At 43.8% G+C, this 22,825-nt stretch overlaps 1 long non-coding RNA gene across 1 annotated transcript, besides 2 other annotated features; it reads left to right on the top strand.

The window, feature by feature from the left end:
• Positions 1-2,611: 2,611 nt before the first annotated feature.
• Positions 2,612-11,906, top strand: LOC124906265 (uncharacterized). Its single transcript, XR_007095995.1, has 3 exons — positions 2,612-3,182; positions 3,967-6,741; positions 8,311-11,906. It is a non-coding gene; the product is annotated as an uncharacterized LOC124906265 (long non-coding RNA).
• Positions 15,456-15,977: an enhancer, noted in NCBI's record as "H3K27ac hESC enhancer chr3:107745409-107745930 (GRCh37/hg19 assembly coordinates)". NCBI's record gives its function as "activates a minimal SCP1, AML or CMV promoter by ChIP-STARR-seq in naive H9 embryonic stem cells {active_cell/tissue: H9 hESC(naive)}" and the evidence as "EXISTENCE:reporter gene assay evidence [ECO:0000049][PMID:30033119]".
• Positions 16,502-17,025: an enhancer, noted in NCBI's record as "NANOG-H3K27ac hESC enhancer chr3:107744361-107744884 (GRCh37/hg19 assembly coordinates)". NCBI's record gives its function as "activates a minimal SCP1, AML or CMV promoter by ChIP-STARR-seq in naive H9 embryonic stem cells {active_cell/tissue: H9 hESC(naive)}" and the evidence as "EXISTENCE:reporter gene assay evidence [ECO:0000049][PMID:30033119]".

Genomic DNA, 22,825 nt, shown 5'->3' with positions numbered 1-22,825 from the left:
GCCTCCTTCAGTCACTGAGGCCAAGTGTCTCTGGCGCTCTGATCGGGCCTGGCTGAGTCCCGAGTCTAGACTGGAGTGGAGGTGCTGGGCTCCATCTGAGCACATGTACCTGGCTGGAGGTGCCAGGCCGGGGGGAAGTTCACCTGAAGAAAACTCTGGGGGTCTTTCCAGATGATGAGATGTCATTTGATTTGGGGCACAGTATTCCTAGTCAACGCTTCATTCCTTCAGGTCTGTACTCTATGATTCTGCATTATATGTGTGATCGTAGACCATTTGAACAGACAATAATATTTGGCAGCAAAATACCGTCTCGTTCTTACCTCATAGGCAATTTAAATTTTATGCACTTACGAGAACTTTTCACTCTCAGCAGGGGTAACTAATGGAGTTCAGAAAGCATTTAATGGCCTGCCTCCTGCACTGAAAGCTGCTCTGTGCAGCACAGAACTGTACTCAACCTGATTGAACTCCCACGGAGGGGTAGGCTTCCAAACGCAACTGAATTTCATTTTGGTGCAGCACCTTTCTGCCTCAAGGCCTTAGCTTTGATAGCTTTAGAAAATAATGGATATGGTAACACTATGCAGGTAAGACATGGTTTTACCAGTGGCTCAGAGATTTAAGCCCAATTGGCAGTGTTTGGTGTTAGAAGTAATCTTTATTTTTTGTAAGCTTCATACTAAGTACCCATTCACCAAATCAGAGGGAAATGAAGTATTTACCCCTAAGTTATGGATACTTGGCCTGGTTATTTTATGTATCTATGACTATATAGAATAATGGACTTAATGATTAGAACTCTTATATACTTAGCAAGTATTTATTTAATCACTTGAATAGCAGGCAGCAACTTTTCAGCTCTGATGATAGCCAGTTGTGAAAGACTAGGCATATTTTCCAAATCTGGATGATGAGAAATGCTTGGTAAGAAGTCCAGTTTGGACAGAATTGATTTGTAAGTCTAAAGACAGCAATTTTATGTCAGTTTTGAAGCCAGACTGCAATATTGCTACCATTGCTCACTTAATGGACAGGCTTTCTGGAAGCCTCTACTGAAAATAATCTTATCTGATCATAGGCCTCCCTTAATAAAAAACAAAACTATAATGTTGCTTCCTAATTTTCTCTGGGTTGCCTAAGAAATTCTTCAAGATTAAACTAACAGCCTGTAAGTGGTTTGACTTTCTAAACAAATGGATTATTTGAAAAATTTTAATGTATTGTTTATAACACATGCCAGACACTTCCTCACGCCTATAATCCCAGCACTTAGGGAGGCCAAGGTGGGTGGATTGCTTGAAGCCAGGAATTTGAGACCAGCCTGGGCAATGTGGCAAAATCCTGTCTCTACAAAAAATACAAAAAATAGCTGGAGGTGCTGGTGGGCACCCATAGTCTCAGTTACTTGAGAGGCTGAGGTGGAAGGATCGGTTGAGCCCTGGATAGAGGCTGCAGGAAGCCATGATCACAGCACTGCACTCCAGCCTGGGAGACAGAGCGAGACCCTTTCTCAAAAAATAATAATAATAATTAAAATAACAAAGCATGGAATATGTCTTTCATGGAGCTCTCTAAGTTTTGCTCATTTTTATTAAAAATACTGTTTGTGGAGGGTGTTGTAGTTAAGCTGCACTGTGGGCAGAGTGGACCTGCACAGGTCCACAGGACCTGTGTCCTGTGTCTCTACCAGTCATCATATATGTCACAGATTCTGTGGGGAAATATGTCTCTGGCATGCTAACTGGGAACAACTGGAACCTTTGCTCTCCCTACCATTGCAGCCTCCTCCTCCAGCAGTTGTAGGACTAGCGGCCCCACCACATGGGATGAGAGCCCTGTGGCGGCTGCCTCCAGCCCCTGCCTCCCAGGCAGCTCATTCTAGGAATGCTCCTTATTCTCTGGGAAGTTTCCATCCACAGCTCAACCAAACGTTTTTGGAATGTGATGTTTATAATTGTCACTTGTGCAAGTTCTATATGTTTGGTAACCTGAGTAAACCTTTGTTTATTGCAATACTATCAAGTATTCACTTCTCACAATTGAATTGGTTAGATACATATCTTAGGTTTTTAAATTTGATTATCATGGATTCAGTAGAGCCCATGTCTCTTCCTGTCTTTAGCTATATGCCTAGCTATCAGTGGGAATTGTCTGCTAACGACTATTACTCCATGGAACAGAAAAGATTACCATGGATCCTGTGCGGGAATATGTTTGAAAACATCCACAAAAATCAGTTTTTCTCATTTCTGCTCAAGGAAAGTTGTCAGAAAATTATGGAACCTTTCTGCTTTAAGTTGATGATGATAGAAGATGGGGCATTTATTAATTGCCTAAAAGAATTATCCTTGAAGTTATACTGAAAAATTTTTTTTAAGTTTTTTCAAAAACACTATAGTAAAATTAAATTTATTTTTTATTTATTTATTTTTTTTGAGATGAAATCTCACTCTTGTCCCCCAGGCTGGAGTGCAATAGCAGGATCTCAGCTCACTGCAACCTCTGCCTCCCAGGTTCAAGCGATTCTCCTGCCTCAGCCTCCTGAGTAGCTGGGATTACAGGTGCCTGCCACCATGCCCGGCTAATTTTTGCATTTTTAGTAGAGACAGGGTTTCACCATGTTGGCCAGGCTGGTCTTGAACTCCTGACCTCAGGTGATCCACCTGCCTGGGCCTCCCAAAGTGCTGGGATTACAGGCGTAAGCCACCGCGCCCAGCCAAGTAAAATTAAATATTCTTGTATTCTTTTTATATCTCTGGAAAAGTATTAAATACATTCTTCCAGAAAAACCTTCGCTGAAGGGCTTGGCTGGACTAGTTTCCCACAGCTTATCCTAGGGCCTCTGGGTAGAATTGTTTTTCTTTATTGTGTGGATAGATCAGACTCAGTACGGAGACCAACAGGCTCTCTGTCTTCTCCTCAGAAGCAACTGGGATTCTCCAGAGCAGTCATAAGGTGACAGAAAGGCCCCAGAACAGATGTTTCGTGTGTGACAGAGCCTCCAGGGAGACGACTCTGTTGCTTTAACAGTGCTAATGAGGCCAGGTTGCCAGTGGGTCCTCACCTGAGCCAGTTACTTATTTATATGACTCCATCTTATTCCTCAAAGGGTTTAAAGTGCCCTGTTTGGGCCAGGTGTCTTCACACTGAGAAAAGCGGCGTTCCACGGTCACAGCCAGGTGAGTGCACTCGCCCATCGGCATGGGCATCCGAGGAGAGCAGGGCTGTGGTGGGTAAAATGCGCTCTGCGAAACCTCGCCTCTAACTGCCTTGCTCAAAGCAACCTGCCACAGAGGTCAAGAGCGTCATTTACTCATATAAAGAACAGTTCTTTCTCCTCAACCCCTGAGAAGCAAAGCCACCGTAATAATTTTCACTATACATAGGAAAAAATTTTTGTAATCAAAAAACGAAACGAAATTCCTGATTCAACACATTCCGAGGGCTGTCCAAATCAACCTGGCAGTGACATCAGTGCTGGTGAAAACCACATTTTATGACTCTGCCTTCACTCGTCCTCCTGGGCATTTTTTATTCTTCAAATTGGAGATAAAAATAAGGGTTGGTCTCTCAAGGTTAGGAGGGAGAGAGCAGCATATGTTCTTCAAAAGACTCAATAAGATAATAGATTTTTTTAAAAGCTGTTGCTAGTGTAACTTACTTATAGTTTCAAAGGGCTTTTTTAAAATGAAATCTTTGCAAGCAATAGTAAAGAAATCTAGAACCCCCTGAGGTGATGGTTAGAGTCCTGTCACGGATTTAAATCTAATTATTAGCCTGAAAGTAAAAAGGAGAAAAAACCGGCCGAGTGTCAGCCCGGAAAACAATAATCGCCGTGGTGGTGTTCAGCAGCCCAGTTATTAGTGCCTTCAAGGATAGTTCACCGCATTTATTCTTGCCCTTGAAAGACAGCCACAGAAGCTTCGATGTTTTCTGATAATTGCTTCTTTTTCCATGGAGTAGAGGTGCTTCCTGTGCTCCTAGGTTTCATCTCTTCTGAGCACCTGATGAAAAGCATTGGCTGTCAGTGCAGGCACTTAGAAGAGAGGCAATGTGCACAGAGCCGAGTGCCCCAGCCTGCACTTCCCCACCTGTGTGACCTTGTGCACGTAACCTGACTTCTCTGTGCCTCAATGTCTTCATGTGTAAAATGGAGATTAAATGAGAGAAAGCATGTCAGGTGGGTAGCATGGTGCCTGGCTCAATGTAAGTTCTCAATATGTGTAAGCTGTTTATCTTTTTCCTCTTATTATACTTTGGCCAAGGTGGAAAAAGCTTACCATGACACAGTCTAGCGATGAACATAACATATGCTGGAATATGTATTTTCCTATGCTGGGTTATTGGCAAAGAAGCAAACAGGACACAAAATGACTAAGAATATAAAATAATATAACAAGTGCAGCTAAGTTGCAGACATGTTCATTCCAAGCACAATATTCATGTTAGGCCACCCTCCGGTTCCTTAATGAAAGCAGAGGACAGAAGGTGACATTTGGCATTGGGTAATCCTATTTGCCCTTTCCTGGAATGCAAAGAAGGTGGAAGGAAAGGATCCCACTCCTGTAGCACACACAGAGGCTTTGGGACCCCGTGCCTCCTGCCAACATCACTCAGCTCATTCATTTATTTATTCACGTCAGTGACAGATTCTCAAGACCTCTGAAAATATGTTAAGAGCAGGCTCTCCAATCACACCAGAAAGAATATGATTAAGAACTTAGAGCTGTCTTTAGGCTAATAACCAGCAGAAACTAAATCCAAGTATTTGGGAGTGAAGATGGTTGTTGAAAATATTGAGGCCTAGTAAATATTATTTAGCAAATGGAAGTATTTCAGTCGGGGGTTTTGAAAGGCTTAGGTTTATACTGTAATCAGCCTGCTCTCTTCTCTAAAATGATTAGAGTCCTTGTTCCATCAGTCCTCCTGAGTGGCTGCGGAACGCAGAAAAGGCAGCTGGTGACATGCTGTGAATTGGAAGTGGCTTCTATTTACCTCTTCTCCACCTACTCATATGGCCACGGATGGTGCCCAGTTCAAGCAGGAATAAAACACCACGCGAGGCTAACTGGCCTAAGTCCTTCGAGTGGAGCGCAGAAACTTGCTTTAAGAGAGCCTGATTAAAGGCCCCAAGTCCATTTTAAGGCATGGTTTTCTATTAAGCCTTTAATGCTTACAGAAGTATACATTTTCCATAGAAAGGGAACCTAAACTGTCCTAATATGTGGGCAGTTTAGCTCCTGACTCCCAACTTGGCCAGAGGTGTGGTGAATCAGCATGTCACATTCCACTAAAAGATGCTTCCCTGTTTATGTTTGTTTGGTGTTTAGGAATGTAATAACTATACTAGAGTTCTTTCTTAGGCTGTGGTCTGCCTCTGAGGGAACTGAAAGTGATGCAGAGAGCCAAAACCAGCATCATGATTCTATCAGAAAGCGTATGTTTGTGTCCTTCATTAGGAACATTGCCGTTCTATGCTACCGAATGAAGAGGATCTTATTGATACCTCCCTCTCGCTTCTGCCTCCAAACCAATCCCTTGCTTCCTTCCACCCAGAAATAAAAGGACACTCTGAGTTATGGCATTATCAGTGAATTTTCAGTGGGTAGGATGTTCTGAGCAGTGAAAACTATAAATAAATTGGTTCTACGCTGGAATTAGCTGTGGAGCCGGAAAGATAAACACAGGACAACTAATTGCAGCCGCACGATTAACAAGAATGTTGTTCTAAGGAGAGAAAAAGTCAACAGCATTAATGAAAATTAAGCAGTATCTCAATGGTACTAGTAAATAAATAAATATATGTCTATGTTTAATTAAAAGCAAGACCCAATTATGTCTCACTTCTTACTGAGCTACTTAAATCAAGACAGTCTAATGTTAAATGAGAAAAATCAACTCAGGACACTGTCATCTGCATTTAATCAAGACTTCTGTGTCTCACACAAGCTTTCAAGATGGGTAGCGGTAGGGGTGTGTGTTTAGGAGTCTCATGCAAACTTCCCATTGCCCTGCAGTGGACAGGTCTATAGATCTCCAGTTGGAGTACAGAAATCTTCTAGAAGAATTGTGACTGTAAAGCCACTTCTATAACTCTTACTCTGTGATTCTGATGCAAACATACCATTTTGGGTTAATATAAGCAAAGCTTGTATCTAGAACTATAGCTAAAAGTATCAATGTGGTGTTATTTTTTTTCTGACAATAAAAGCAATACATAAATGTGCAGCAAAATGTTTACTTAAGGTTTTGCTTCTTTTCAACTAAATTTGTTTAGTACACATTAAAGGTCAGATGTGGGGAAGATAGATTGGGGGTCAGGGGTTGTTTCTACCTGCTTTGTCTAAATACCTTACCGCAGTCAATGTCCTTAGTTGTTTTGTGTCTACCCCCATTAACTGAAAACCCAAGGTGAGAAAGTCTTCCTTGCTGAGTTTAGTGACAGTTCTCTCCCAGGTGAAGGGGATGGGGTAAGAGGCAGAAACCCCTGTCTCCAGAGGAATCTGAAGAGAGAGTGTGCTTTGATGACCCCGGGGGTGCAGGAAGGAAGTGGGGCCCAAGCAGGCAATGACTATGCCTGGCCCTGGAGTTGCGTACTTGGCCCTTACTGTATCATTTCTTGTCTCACTTCCTCTCACTTGTCAGGAATGTTGCCAGGACTGGTGAAAAGACAAGTGAGATACCACGCCAAATAAAGCCAAATCCTTGAAAGAAAGATGCGATGGTCTACAAATCAAAGTAATTTCTTCTTTCACTATTACTGATGCAAATGTCTTTCTTTTCTTCATCTCACAAGGTTTTTTTGGTGTGTTTTTTTTTTAAATCTTTCATGAAAGGCTCATCATTTACTGGCTCTCTTACCCTGGAAATAACATTATCAGAAGCTATTTATTGAGCATTTCTTCTGTGCTGGGCGCTATGCAAGGCCGAAGAATACAGTCAGGATCAGACACAGTCCCTCCAAGATGGGGTATATAAATTTAGTAAATTTCTTACTTTCTCTGAACCTTGATCCCCTCATTTATTACATAGGACATTTTTTAAAATAGTAATACATACATCCTGAATTTTTTTTCCTAAAACAGGGTAGTGCTGTGTCACCAAGGCTGGAGGGCAATAGCATGATCACGACTTACTGCAGCCTTGATCTCTTGGGCTCAAGCAATCCTCCTGCCTCAGCCTCCCAAGTAGCTGGGACTACAGGCATGCACCAGCACACTGGCTAATTTTTTTAAAACTTTTTGCAGAGACATAGAGACCGGGTTTTACTATGTAGCCCATGCTGGCCTCAAACTCCTGGGCTCTAGCAATCCTCCTGCCTTGGCCTCCCAAACTGCTGGCATTACAGGTGTGAGCCACCATGCCTGGCTCTGGAAATGTTTTGAGGACTACATAAAATAATGTATATAAAAGGGCCTAGCAGAATATAACTAGAAGCTCAACAAATGTTATACATTCTTCCCCCCCAGTCATAAGCAGGAAAACAAAAAAAATTAAATCCACACATTTCCCCATTTCTTAACAGTTTTTTTTTAAAGGGTGGTGTTGGGAGAAACTTGAAACTTTTGATTAAAAAAATAGCTACTTAGGATTAAATAGCAAATCATAGGTCAGAAATCACAGGACAAGCAATTCTTTAAGCCAAGCTTTCCCTGTCAGGATACCTTCCACAGGGGAGCAGCCCCTTCACTGGCAGTGAGAAAGGTGCTCATTTGAATATCAAGCAACGGACCAGTGAAAATTGGTAGAGAGCCATGGAAATGCTACTGCTAGGTCTGTCCCTCATGACCTGATAGGCTCTGTGGACATGGGCAACCCCAGACCCTGGTGACAAAATAAGCAACAGACCCGTTTCCGGGTGCATCTCAGGTGAATTCTGCTCACAGCCAGAGGAAAATGAGTGTTTCTGATTCTTCCTCTCCCTTCGTCAGCTTTTCCTCTGGCCTTGCCTAGGTCCCCAGGCTTAGTACTAAAGTCCCATCATTCAGTCAGTTCAAATCCCAACTAAACTCCAGAGATGGCTGGGAGGGGCTGAGTGTACTTGGTGGAGGCAGAGGCCAAAAAGCACAGTGGATGAAGCATCGGGTGGTGGGGTGGGAAACATGGGATCTCACCCCTTAGCTGTTGCTGATGAACTGGGGACCCAGATAAGATGCTGTGGCTTCCTGCATCTCAGCTTGTTTGTCTGTAAAATGAAGGACTTGGCCCAGATGTCTCAATGGCTCACCCAGCGCTATTCTCCTATCATCTCTCTCGGGAAGCTGGTCAGGTTTCCAGGATCACCTTTCTTCTCTAATCTCCACCCAGGCAAAGGCCAGAAAAGCGACCTTCAGAAGGAGCCAGCACCCCAGCTCCTGCCTCAGGGCGATATGAAGACCCCAGGAAGGAAATTATGCTGAGAAAAGGAGATCACACCTCTGTCCAGCCTGCACCGGCCCCTTGGCATGCCCTGAAGACACAAGGCCTAAATCAAGGTCAAAGACACAGCCCTCCTGGTTGTGAAGATTCCAAAGGCTCCCAGCTGCATGAGGAGGGTTACCCAGAATGTCAGATTTGGAGCAATTCAGCGAGAACCCTTCAAAATTCAGTGTGGTATGTGGAAGGTAAGAGGCAGACAGGCCACCAGGAGGTGGGTTTTATTTCGTGTGCACAAAGTTTTAAAAAATACATGTGCACCATTAAAAGGGAAAAAGAAGAAAAAGAAAAACAGCAAAAGCAGGAGACTCTACGTTTTTAAAAATCTGGATTTCCAGCTTCTTTTAAATAAAGAAGTAGAGGTTCTGGCTACACTGGGCCCACATTACTCCCCTCCCTGAACGGTGAGCTGGAGTTGCACAGCTTAGGTCCTCTTTGGGTAGAGTACATGCTTCCCAATTCTCCAGGGCTCCTTCCACTGTTGCTACTTCAGCCTATATTTTAGTGTTTTGCTTGTAGTGCAGAAATATTTCTCTGTGCTCATGAATCTACAAAATGTGAGAAAACAAAACATATACCCAGAGGACTGTGTGTTTTACCAGCAAGTGCAGAAAGCGCCTTTGTGGAAGCAAGGAATAGTGCTAATATTTACTATGCAAACCCCCGGCATGCACCACTCATTCTCATTACCTGCCTGGCTCTTAAGGGTATTTTATTTTGTAGCCTCTGCCTGGAAGACTTGGAAGACGGAAATCTGTAGATAGTCTGCAACTATTTATCCACCCATTTCTGCTTACATAGGTCATGGCAGAATTACCGTGGCACGCTACTTTGGCAAGAGTTCTGCTGTCTTTAGCCCTTGCATAGTTAATCACCTGCAGCAAACTTAAAGAATCTTATCCATCGGTCTTCAAAGGGGTAGGAATTTGAGAGACCAACCTTTAGCTCTTTTGCTTGGAATACTAATAACATGAATTTCTACAATGGTCTTCTCCATCTTTCATATACATGAGGAAGTTCAGGCTCAGACAGATAAATGACTTGCCCAAAGGGTGAAACTGGAGTATTAGCTGGTCTAGAAAGAAGGTTGGGAAGGAAACATTTCCTTACTCCTTCACCTGGGGAAAGCAAGTTGCCCTTCCCCACACCCTCTTCTGTCCCCCAGCATGCATACAATATGTACACACACTAGCCCACTGGTTACAGGCTGGCTAGCTTCTCCCAGCCTCTCTCCAGAGGGTCACCCTCATCTAGCAGATGTGGGCAGGAAGAGAAGTCCACTTGTGCTTGCTGCCAGAGGAGATGGCCACTGCCAATTGAGGCTGATCATGAAGAGTGGGTTCCTGGAGTCCTCAGCAGAGCACTGGCTATTCATGGACAAGGACAGGTGAGAAGCCCTCCTGTTTTCTGCCTCTGGCTCTGTAGTGTTGCCTAGTTCGCATCAGATGGGGAAGGAGCTAAATACTCATCCCAGCTCAGAAGTGGAACTGAGACTGCTCCGCCAGGGCGCAAATATCATGGTGCATAGAGAGCATATAAACATCCTAAAGGCCAGGCACGGTGGCTCATGCCTGTAATCCCAGCACTTTGGGAGGCCGAGGTGGGTGGATCACCTAAGGTCGGGAGTTCAAGACCAGCCTGGCCAACACGGTGAAACCCCGTCTCTACTAAAAATACAAAAATCAGTAGGGCATGGTAGTGCACATCTGTAATCCCAGCTACTTGGGAGACTGAGGCAGGAGAATTGCTTGAACCTGGGAGGCAGAGGTTGCAGTGAGCCAAGATCATGCCACTGCACTCCAGCCTGGGAGACAGAGCAAGATTCCATCTCAAAAAAAAAAAAAAAAAAAAATGCTAGAAAAAGAGCAAATGCATAGCATTGGCACTGGTGGTGTGAAAGCACAGCCCAGGATGCCTCTTCAGTCACAGTCACCCACTAAAGCTATTCGATGAGCACCTAGCATGGGCTAGGTACCTAGACCAACACACAGTTTCACCAACATCCCTGGCTAAGGTCACGTGATCCACAGAGATGCTTGTTTGCTGAGCATGAGTCAGATCTGGAGAAAGTCCTGAGAAAGTCCCAAGGCTTCTATGTCTGAAGTTCCAAGCCAGGATGGAAGCAGCCAATTCACCTGCTATAGACTAAGTGTTTGTGTCTTCCTCCCCTCAATTTATATGCTGAAACCCTAACCCTCATGGTACTTGGAGGTAGGGGCTGGGTTAGATTAAGTCATGAGGGTGAGGGTGGGGCCCTCATGATGGGCTGAATGCCCTCATTAAAGAAATGGAGAAACATGAGATCTCTCTCTCCACCATGCGAGGATACAGCAAGAAGACGGCTATCTGCCAACCAGGAAGACAGCCCTCACTAGACACAGGATCTGCCAGCACTTTCATCTTGGGCTTCCCAGCCTCCACAACTGTAAGAAATAAATGTCTGTGGCTTAAGCCACTCAGTCAATAGTATTTTGATATAGCAGCTTGGGCTGAGATATCACCTGTATCGATTCTTTGGCAATGGATTCAGCAAATGGTGGCTTTGTAGAATGATCAGTTAACTGCAGGGATCAGTCGTCAGACGGAGCTAAAAAGTCCCATGCTCGGGGAGCCTCACCGGAGTTCCAGGAAAATGTTAAGAAGAAGAATAACAACTTAAGCTTCTACACGTCCTAACCCTGCACCAAATGCTTTAGGTACGGTGTTATTCATTTAAATCCCAGAACATGCAACAGCAGGTTTCATCAGATATATTTTATCCAGGGGGTATATAAGGCTCAGAGAATAAAAAGGATATCCAAGGTCACCAGGTTGCAACCAATACAGGCAGGTTTCAACCCAATTCCTCTGACTCAAAGCCCTGGCTCTGTTCTCCACGGCTGTGCCAAGGAAGACTGTGCCGAAGATACCTTTTTGGTCTCAGATTGTTGAATTTTCCTTGACTCCTGGGAAACAGTTTAAAGCAGCCGCAAACATGGTTTCCACAACTGCATTCCTGAAGCGCATACCCAGAGTTACTTCTTGTAACAGCACTTTCTTCCAGATGACTGAGATGCGTCTGCTGGTGATAAGATCAGATTAACCTATTTCAACTTGATAGCTAGATTCTGACACACTGAAGAAAAAAAAAAGAAAGAAAAAACTATAGGATCAAAACCACAGTTACACTGGACACAATATTTTCCCTTAGGATGCCCTCAGACTTTACAACCAGATACTTACCATAGAGCCAAAAGAAAGTAAGAATCACCATTCTTCCTTGATCTAAAGATATATAGTTTGGATAGTCTGAAATTAGAATGTGTCTCAAAATCAATGTTTAATTTTAATATGGTGGGCTTTTTTTCCCCTCTCCCACTCCAAGTGAGCATTGACCTTCGGGATACTTCAAAAGCTGCAATTAATATAATTGTGTGTCTTAAAATAAATGACATTTTATTTTATTTTATTTTGTAGAGACAGGTTCTCGCTCTGCCACCCAGGGAGGAGCGCACTGGCATCTTCTTAGCTCACTGCAGCCTTGAACTCCTGGGCTCAAGGGACCCTCCCACCTCATCCTCCTGAGTAGCTGGGTCTATAGGCACATGATACCACACCTGGCTAATTTTTTTTACTTTTATTTTTGTAGAGATGATGTCTCCCTATGTTGCCCAGGCTGGTCTCCAAGTGCTAACCTCTAGTGATGGTCCCACTGCAGCCTCCCAAAAATCTGGGATTACAAGCATGTGCTACCTTGCCCAGACGAATGGCATCTTACAAACAGGAAATAAGAAGTAATGATAAGCAGTCTGGCCGGAATGCTAATTTGTGTATATGTCTCCAATCCCTAATGTGCAACATGATTTCAACATATGTTTGTTGAAATGACAAATACATCTGTAAAATAGACACTGAATTTTTTTTATTAGGCAAAATTTCAAACATATACCAAAGTGTGGAGTGTATTACAATGAACTCCCTTCACTCAGCTTCAGTATTTTCAACTTATGTCCTATGTTATTTCCTCTGCCCGTACCCACTCCCTCTCTGCCCCGGATAATTTTGAAGGAAATCCCAGATGTTAGAGAGCATTTCATCAGTAAACGTTTCAGTGTGGATCTGTAAAAGACAAAGAGTGCCCTTTTTAAAAGCAACTATGCAGCATCAGGACACCTCCCTAAGAATCATCACAGCTCCCTAAAAACCAATATTAATAATTCTGTAATAGTATCAGATATTCATTTAGTATTTACATTTTCCTGATTCTCCTATAAATAGCCTCTTTCTACCTTGCTCTCTTTTCTTTACTGACAGTTTATTTGCCTCAGTATCCCTGAGGCATGAAAACTCCATCCTCTTTTTCCCTGTTTGCTGTGTTGTTGATGCTGTTAAAGGAACTAAATCTTCTTGTCTGGTAGTCTCCCACATGTTGGCTTTGGTTAATGGCATTCCAATAATAACATGGTTTAGTACGTTTCCTTTTCTCCTGTGTTTCCTTGGCATTGGTACTTAGAGCTGGAGGTTGTGCAGACTTAGTTTGCATTCTTTTGTACTATAATCAGGAGGTGCATAATGTCTGGTTGTGTCTCTCTTTGGATGTTATCAGCTATTGATGATGATTGCTTAGGTCATAACAAGCACCTTTGATGTGACTGTCCCATGCCAAAGCTACCAAAAAAAAATACATTAAAAATAATGAATCTGAGATGTTGGGTATGTTACCTGTTCAGTTTTAGGTCCTTATGATTACAAGGGAGAGCAATTCCGTTGGGTTGGCCCAAACGACGGCAGGCTCTAGTTTAGTGCGTTCTGCAATGATGTGAGGGTGGTGTGCCCAGGCAACCTTACTTTAACAAAAACAGCATTATACATACTTTTGTTTCAGTTAACAAAAAAAAGAGGGGCATGGGGACTGCAGGAATCTCTGTAACAAAAGCATTGTTTATAGTTTTAAGTATATAGCTAGAACACTGAAATTGTAAACGTAAAAATATGGCATGTGATTCCATCTAGCTCTTGCTCAAGAATGACGTCTTAGGCCATCACAATACTTCTTAGACATTTCCATTGCTTTTAGCACAACAAAGAGGCTGTGGCACTTACACAACAGGCCTTTCTCTCTGCCCACACACTCTACTTCTGTATGGGTCAGAAGAGGGTCTACACATGTCCCCTAGTTAATCAATCATGTTATGTCCCATTTAGCTTATGGAAACTCATGCTGTGTATACAGATAGGAAAGAAAGGAAAGAGTTATCTCACAGGCAATCAGGGAAGAACGATGTGTATGAGGAGACCTCCTGGGGACCTCAACTCGTCAGAGGCAATGGTAGGGAGCAGAGTAGCCACTGTGAGTTTGCTTCCATAAGTCCCTTTCTTTTTTTGGCTCTAGCCATTTCTTTTCCCAGTACAGACTAGCTTCATCACGCTCTGCATCTCTTTGTAAGTGATTCAGGCATTAGAATGGCTCAAAACATACAGCACAAGCCTTCAAATGTTTTTTCTTTTATTTTTAGTTGACATATAATAATTGTACATGTTATGGGATACAGAGCACTATTTGAATACATGTATATAATGCGTAATAACCAAATCAGGGTAATTGACGTATCTATTACCGCAAACATTCATCTTTTCTTTGTGTTGGGAACGTTCAAAATCCTCTCTTCTAGATTTTTAAAAATATACAATAAAATATTGTTAACTATATTCACTCTACAGTTCTATAGAACACTTAGAACTTATTCCCCTATCTATCTGTAATTTTGTGTCTGTTAAGTCTGTTAACCAACCTCTCCACTATGCTTCCCAGCCTCTAATAACCACTAGTCTACTCTCTGCTTCTTAGACACCAACTTTTTTTTAGCTCTCATGTATGAGAGAGAACATGCAGTATTTATTTTCTGTTCCTGGTTTATTTCACTTACCATAATGTCCTCCAAGCTCATCCATGTTGTCACAAATGACGGGATTCAGGATTTCATTCCTTTTTTTTTTTCTGAGACGGAGTTTCGCTCTTGTCGCCCAGGCTGGAGTGCAATGGTGTGATCTCGGCTCACCGCAACCTCTGCCTCCCAGGTTCAAGTGATTCTCCTGCCTCAGCCTCCCGAGTAGCTGGGATTACAGGCATGTGCCACCACGCCTGGCTAATTGTGTATTTTTAGTAGAGATGGGGTTTCTCCACGTTGGTCAGGTTGGTCTTGAACTCCTGACCTCAGGTGATCCTCCCACCTCGGCCTCCCAAAGTGCTGCTATTACAGGCGTAAGCCACCATGCCCCCCCAACCAATTTCATTCCTTTTATATGGCTGAATAGTACTCCATTGTGTATACATGCCACATTTTCTTTATTCATTCTTCTGTTGATGGACATTTAGGTTGACTCCATACCTTGGCTATTGTGAATAGTGCTGGAATAAACATGGGAGTGCAGATGTCTTTTCCATATATTGATTTCCTTCCCTTTGGGGAAGTAGTGGGATTGCTGAATCATATGGTAGTTATATTTTTAGGTTTTTGAGAAACCTCCATATTGTTTTCTATAATGGCTGTACTAATTTACATTCTTACCAAGAATGTAATATAAGAATTTCCTTTTCTCCACATCCTCACCAACATTCGATTTTTGTTGTTGTTGCTGTTGTTATTTTGTTTTTCTGATGGCAGCCATTCTAATGGGAGTTGGATGATATTTCATGTGATTTTAATTTACATTTCCCTAATAGAGATGTTGAACATGTTTTCATATTCTTGTTGACCATTTGTAGGCCTTCTTTTGAGAGATGTCTATTGAGATTCTTTTCTCATTTTTAGATTGAATTATTTGTTTTTTCAAACTTTTTTTTACCATCATTTAATGAATTTTTATCATAACCAAGTACACACAAACATGTAGGTGTGTAGGTCAGCATATATGGTGTGAAATAGATATATAAATAGACACACATATTGTCTTTGAAACCAAAGTTTTACATATTATCATCCTTGCCATGTGTTATATATCCTGATACTTTCTTTTCTATTCGATTCCTTTGTTAAAAAAAATACTGGTTGTGGCCTACTAAATTTATTTCAAAACCCATTGGTGGGTCGTAACTTTCATCTTGAAAACCACATCCTATAGTGAAGGTAGAACTTGAAGAGCATCAAACTGAAGTTCTTGGGAACTAGACTGATTCCAAATACAAGAATTATGGCTCCTCCCTCTCCCTCTCCCTCTCCCCCCTCTCCCTCTCCCTCTCCCCACAGTCTCCCTCTCCCTCTCTTTCCACCGTCTCCCACTGATGCCGAGCCGAAGCTGGACTGTACTGCTGCCATCTCGGCTCACTGCAGCCTCCCTGCCTGATTCTCCTGCCTCAGCCTGCCGAGTGCCTGCGATTGCAGGCGCGCCACCACGCCTGACTGGTTTTCGTATTTTTTTGGTGGAGACGGGGTTTCGCTGTGTTGGCCGGGCTGGTCTCCAGCTCCTAACTGCGAGTGATCCGCCAGCCTCGGCCTCCGGCCTCCCGAGGTGCCGGGATTGCAGACGGAGTCTGGTTCACTCAGTGCTCAATGGTGCCCAGGCTGGAGTGCAGTGGCGTGATCTCGGCTCGCTACAACCTCCACCTCCCAGCCGCCTGCCTTGGCCTCCCAAAGTGCCGAGATTGCAGCCTCTGCCTGGCCGCCATCCCATCTAGGAAGTGAGGAGCGTCTCTGCCCGGCTGCCCATCGTCTGAGATGTGGGGAGCGCCTCTGCCCCGCCGCCCCGTCTGGGATGTGAGGAGCGCCTCTACCCGGCCGTGACCCCGTCTGGGAAGTGAGGAGCGTCTCTGCCCGGCAGCCACCCCATCCGGGAGGGAGGTGGGGGTCAGCCCCGCCAGGCCAGCCGCCCCGTCCGGGAGGTGAGGGGCGCCTCTGCCCGGCCGCCCCTACTGGGAAGTGAGGAGCCCCTCTGCCCAGCCACCACCCCGTCTGGGAGGTGTACCCAACAGCTCATTGAGAACGGGCCATGATGACAATGGCGGTTTTGTGGAATAGAAAGGGGGGAAAGGCGGGGCAAGGATTGAGAAATCGGATGGTTGCCATGTGTGTGTAGAAAGAGGTAGACACGGGAGACTTTTCATTTTGTTCTGTACTAAGAAAAATTCTTCTGCCTTGTGATCCTGTTGATCGGTGACCTTACCCCCAACCCTGTGCTCTCTGAAACATGTGCTGTGTCCACTCAGGGTTAAATGGATTAAGGGTGGTGCAAGATGTGCTTTGTTAAACAGATGCTTGAAGGCAGCATGCTCGTTAAGAGTCATCACCACTCCCTAATCTCAAGTACCCAGGGACACAAACACTGCGGAAGGCCGCAGGGTCCTCTGCATAGGAAAACCAGAGACCTTTGTTCACTTGTTTATCTGCTGACCCTCCCTCCACTATTGTCCTATGACCCTGCCAAATCCCCCTCTGTGAGAAACACCCAAGAATGATCAATAAAAATAAATAAATAAATAAATTTTAAAAAAAAAGAATTATGGCTGAAGAAACTGGAGCATCATTACACTGTGAATTAGATCAGAAATTGGAGCATGTCTATATTTGTCACATAATAAAACATTATGTGACATAGGTAGTCAAACAGCCCTTTGGTTGTAATGTGTGATCAGGTTAATCTTGGAAGTGAATCAATATCCTACAGTGATCCATTGGAGGAGAGAAGCACACTGGCCTGATGAAAGCCATCCAGGAGCCCTGCCTTTTCTATTGTGGCCTTGATGGATTGGCACTTCCAAACACTCATCATCCATCACACCAGCCCAATTCTATTTTTCTAGCTCGACAGAACACACTGTGCTCTCTGGAGCCACAAAGAGAAGAAAATATTCCCTCCAGCACTCCTGCGTGATGAATTTTTCCACCTCTACATTAAGCTCTGCTCACAGGGCATGTCTTTTAGGCTTTTTGAGTGTCCCGACTATGAGAGGAGAACTGGTAGAAGACCAGTAATGCTGCTACCATCACCAACCCATATTGCCTGACATTTTTCACCTCTTTTCTTATAAAGAGCTCCCAGCCCCAAGAAGAGAAAAAAAAGATAAGAGGAAAGGAAAACCCACACAATATCAATAAAGTTTACCCTTGAGATTAAGTCACATTCTCAGATGGTGTTTTCACAACATAATTTTTTATGCATTCTGCTTAGATTTTAAGATATTTGGGCAGAAATCAAAATTTCTCTCCAGTTTTTATTCTGCATTAAGTGCTAGGTTTCTGCCTCACGCACACACACTCACACGGTTATTAACATATGTGGAAAGTGACTTCTATGATAGAGTTAATTTCCCATTTACTATGAGCAGGGAGTTTTCTTCTAAAATATGATCAACTTGGCGGTGCTAGTGTATAAGTTTAATAATATTTTTGGTAACTAGAAAGGAGGAAATAACCCATGAGTCATGAAAAACCTGAAAAGACTATTCTGATGTTTGTTTATCTTGAACTAAATTTGCAGGGAAATAAAATCACTCTAGCAGCTAAAACTGCACACTCACATTCTTTTGTATGAATTAATTATACTTAACTGCTCTGTAATGTCCTGATTAATTATTTCCTGTTCCAGTCAGTTCATTGTGCATTTTGATACAAAACCTGCATTATGATGAGGATCTTGGATCTATTTCTCATCTTGCAAATGGCCCCTGTAGAGCTGATCTGAATGACTAGCTTCAAAGGAAGGCTACATCTTCATCAGCACCCCAGGAGAGCTGTGTCGGACACAGGCGGTGACAACGGAACTGTATTTTTGGCCCAGGGCATGGAATCACCACTTATGCATGAGGAGCAATGAGCTGGGGCATTTAACACTGCACAGCTTGTGAGAAATATGACTCTCCACCCTGCACAAACTCTGGTGACTTGTCTCCCACCAACAGACTGTCATGTGTATGGAGGTACGGGGCTCTCAAGAGCAAGGTGAACATTGCTAGGTAAGTCCTGAAGACAGGAGAAGCCAACTGTATCTGTTTCCGATTGTTGAGAGGGGGGTAAAAACAATGCAAATTCATTATCTGGCAGTTCTGTATGTCAGAAGTCCTAAAATCAAGACATCAGAAGGGCTGTGTCTCTTCTGGAGGCCCTAGAGGAAAATCTATATCCTTGCCTTTTCCAGCTTCTAGAGGCTGCCACGTTCCTTGGCTCACGGCCCCTTCTTCCATCTTCAGAGCCAGCAGAATAGCATCTTCAAACCTCTGACCTCTATATCCACCCTCACATATCATTCTTTCATTCTTCTAACTCCTTCTTTCCCTTATAAGGATGCTTGAGATTACATTGGGTCCAAATAATCCACAATCATCTCCCCATCTCAAGACATGATTAATCTAATGACATCTGCAAGATCCTTTTGCCATGTAAGGTTCATATTAAGATGTGGAGGTCTTTAGGGGGCTGTTATTCTGCGACCACACTGAGTATCCAGATTGAGGAGGGAACAGTGAAGATCAGGCCAGAGCCTAGGCACCTGCCCCCACAGTAGTAGGGTAGTGTTTAGTCAGGCCTTCACAGCACCAGCAGAGTGGGGCAGGAAGTCTGTAGGTGTGAGTTCTAATCCTAGCAAAATGACTTACACAATGGCCAAAGCTACCCTGTGTTTTACCTGGTTACAGGCAGATTTGCATTCAGCATTCCCTAAAACCATAAAGCTGTTACTGACAATCCATGATACCAAATTAGCTTGTAAGTCTGGGTAGGACTGAGGACAGCAGGAAGGTGCCACCAAGAACCTGAACAATGAGTTGCCCCTGTTAATTTTAAATTCTTAAAATCAACACAAACATTGATTTTATAAAGTTGTGTGGTCAATAGGCTAATCCCAGGCTCCAGTTAGCATTCACACATTGAAAAGAAGAGTGTTACTGAGGGTTTTTGGGCTCTCAGTGCACTAATTGACATGAAGCCAAAAGAGTTTTCTCAGACAAGACTTCATTGGAGTTTGTGTCTGGACATAAGGGTGGCAGCACAGGAGAGAAAATTCTTTGGCTCTCCAAGATGATTGGGCTTTTTTATTAGGCAAAACACAGGAATTGACATCAGGAATAGAGTATGCAGGCTGTACTTGGAAGGGCAAAGCACTGAGGGGTAGGGTATACAGGTCAGCATATTTGGTTTCAGAGGTTATCTTGAGTAATGGGCCTCCCAATGGTCTGACCAGTAGCAACAAGGCTGTAAATAAGTTGTTCAGCATTCCTTTCTGAGGTGAAACATTACACAACCTTGGTTTGTATATCTGGATTTCCTAAGGCCAGTCCTAGACATCTTTAAGTAAAAGGCAGGGTTAAACCTAATGATGTCAGTGAGGTAATGGTGTAGGGCTTGTGATCAGTGGGAATGCATGAAAGAATGCTCTAGTGGAAATGACCTGAAGCTGTTAGACTAGGTAGGTAGGCAGACATGAGCAGGGCAGGAGAGGCCCCCACCCCAAGGAATGTCAGGTGATCACCAGGTGATGGTCAGGCAGTTGGTGCCAGGAAAAGACAGTCTCCCGATAGAAAATACCTGATGCTCACAATCAGCAGCTTCCTGCTAAGATCTCACAAGTTGGTCAAGTGGGCTCAAGCATGTGCACTAAGAGGCACAATGGCAGAATTTAACTGGTCTATGATCTTCCTCTAGGAATGCTCAGCTGCTAAGGGAAAAAACACTTCGAGTGGGCATGTCAGTAAACACACTGCAGGTGCGGCACCTCCCAAGTGCTGACAGGCCTCTGCATAGGCAGACAGCCCAACCCAAGGGAAAAATCAAGGGAGGAGAAATGAAAACCCTGGAACCATGTCAATGTATGAAACCCCAAGTCAGGGCCAAACATGGAACTTGGACCCCTCAAGTTACCCACTTGGCCCTCTTCCAAGTGTACTTTACTTCCTTTGGTTCCTGCCCTCAAACTCTTTAATAAACTTGCACTCCTACTATAAAACTTGCCTCAGTCTCTCCCTCTGCCTTAAACCTACTTCTGCCCCTTGGCCAAATTCTTTCCTCTGAGGAGGCAAGGATCGAGTTTGCTGCAGAGCAGTCAGATTCACCACCAGTAACAAAGCCAAGCCTTGTTCCTACTCTGTCTCAAGAGTATGAGAATCAGGAGAGTGAATGAGCTTTGGCACAGAGAGGCACAAAGAGGTTCCCATGGGCAGAGACCCCACATTGCCCCTTTCCCCGACAAGCCCCCTGAGCCTGTCCCCAGCAGGCGGCGAATACATCAGACACAGAACCTGAGGTCTGTAAATCTTCAGGTGGTGTAATAACTGCTCTTTCCTCTGATTTCAGGCTCGCAACGAAACCCTGGGATAATTGGGCTTCCCAGGGAGCCCCTCACACAGGAGGGGATGGGCTGTCAATCTCTGGTCTACTTGACAGATAGACTCTGTTTCTCATAGAAAATTAACAAGCCAGCATGCTGGCTTGCATATATTCATGTGTTGGGAGTTTAGTTAGTATGAGTCAGCACCTCAAAGCTGTCAATCTCTGGTCTGCATGACAGATATACTCTAATTTCTCATGAAAATTCACAAACAGCTATGCAGATTTATATTTATTAATGCCTTATGAGTTTAGTTAGCATGAGTTGGTATCAACTCTGATTAGCTTAGAGGTCTCTGTAAGACCTGAGCTGCAATGAGTTCCCCAAGATTCTCCTCTGGCCAAAAAAGTCCAACCCTGCCCCATGCCCCACCTTATTTCCCAGCCCTCATTCTGGGCCATTTTCTTGCACATCTCCAGGGGCCCATTGACAGAATATGATGTAAGAGGCGCCCCCTGGAGTTGTGCCACCCTGCAGCCCTGCCCTGAATAACTCCACAGGGCTCCACTTAAATTCTGCTTCCTTTGCAGGCACCTGCAGAGTGAAGAGCCCCCCCGACAGAGTTATTTGGCTTCCTTGTTTTATGCTCTAAGTATCCTGCACTTTCCTTTCTTGCACTTTTCACCCTCGTTTGCCATCTATCTGCCCCATCTTGAAGGGGGCCAAGTTGGTTTTACTGACTCTTAGATGCCCAATGATTATCATAGTATCTGGGACAAAGTAAGTACTCAATAAATATCTGCTGAACAAATAGATAAATGGACGCTGCCCTGACCTCCCCTTTTACCTCTTTTTCAATGACTAGAGAGTGGAGAATGGATCCTAACACAACAAAAGATTCAGGAGCCACTATTATAAATTGAGGGAAAGGTCACATTGAAGATAAGACAGAGAATGCCTTCGTGGAGTTAACAGGAGGCTGTCTTCCCAGGAGAAATGGAGAGACAGCCCATCAGGACAGACTGTGACAGGACACTGCTGTGGCAGTGACAGGGTAGCAATGATCCATCTCTAACAAACAGCTGGACATTTCTATTTGAATGTCCTGACATTACCACAACTCAACACATTCAATCTCAACTCCCAAATGTCCCGATTTCTAGGTGTCCCTCAGCCTCCTAACACACGAGTTGAGATTTCTCTCTCTTTAAAGAGACCAATTAATAAACCAACAAGTCATATAGGTTTCTAACCTTATCACTACCTTACTCCAAGTCCCACCCTGTCATACACCTGGGCAACTGTCACAGTATCTTGAGTTGGCTTCTCATTCCTGGTGTCACCTTTTCTTTGTGCCTTAAATATTTTTTTGAAGAAACAAATACCACTTTAATAACCTCAACTCCTATTTCTCCTCCTATTTGGAAACTCTTTCAACGGCTCTATGACTCCACATTTGCAGCAGACTGGCCTCTAAGCCCTGCGCATCTGTGGTTTTTTCCATCCTTATCTCCTACTGTTTCATACCCTAACCCTGCTCCTCTGTTCCCAAACTAGTTCTGCCTCCTCCTCTAGAGCAGATGAATTCTATTCCTTTCCTCTAGGTACCCCTCCCACTCCTGCCCCCATGTGTTTGTTCAGGCTGGATGGACTGTCTTTCCTTGTCTTTCTTCCCTGTTGAAGCCTGATCTAACTCTATGGCTCAGCTTAAGACCCAAGGCTTTCACAAAATTTTTCTTGATTGTTTCAATTCACACAGAGAGACTTGCAGAGAAGTACCCAGTGTTGAAAACATGTAGACCTCAGGGTGCGGCCTCCCTTTACAGCTCAGGAAATTGAGCCTGACAGAGCCTAACCATGCTCCCTTTCTGAAGCCACCACTTTTCTTTACCATTCATTATAACAAGTAATCATCATCTTTCTTATGAGGGAGATTGGCCCCAGGAAGATGAGGAAATCCATTAGGCTTCCTCTGTAGCAACCTCAACATCTCATTCAGTGAGAGGCTTAAAAGACTCTCCATAAATTAACATTGAAGGATACTCAGAGAGAAAGTGAGCTGTGCCAGTATAGGGAAATTAAAGTAAAAGACAAAGAGCTTGGCCACAGGTATTGCCAATCATTGCCAGGTGACAAGGTAGCCTAATTCTCAGTGACCCATCCCAACATTCAA

Source organism: Homo sapiens, chromosome 3 (genome assembly GCF_000001405.40).
Source record: "Homo sapiens chromosome 3, GRCh38.p14 Primary Assembly".
Lineage (NCBI taxonomy): Eukaryota > Metazoa > Chordata > Mammalia > Primates > Hominidae > Homo > Homo sapiens.
Note: the sequence above shows the minus strand (reverse complement) of the source record. Positions and strands in the feature narration are given on the sequence as shown.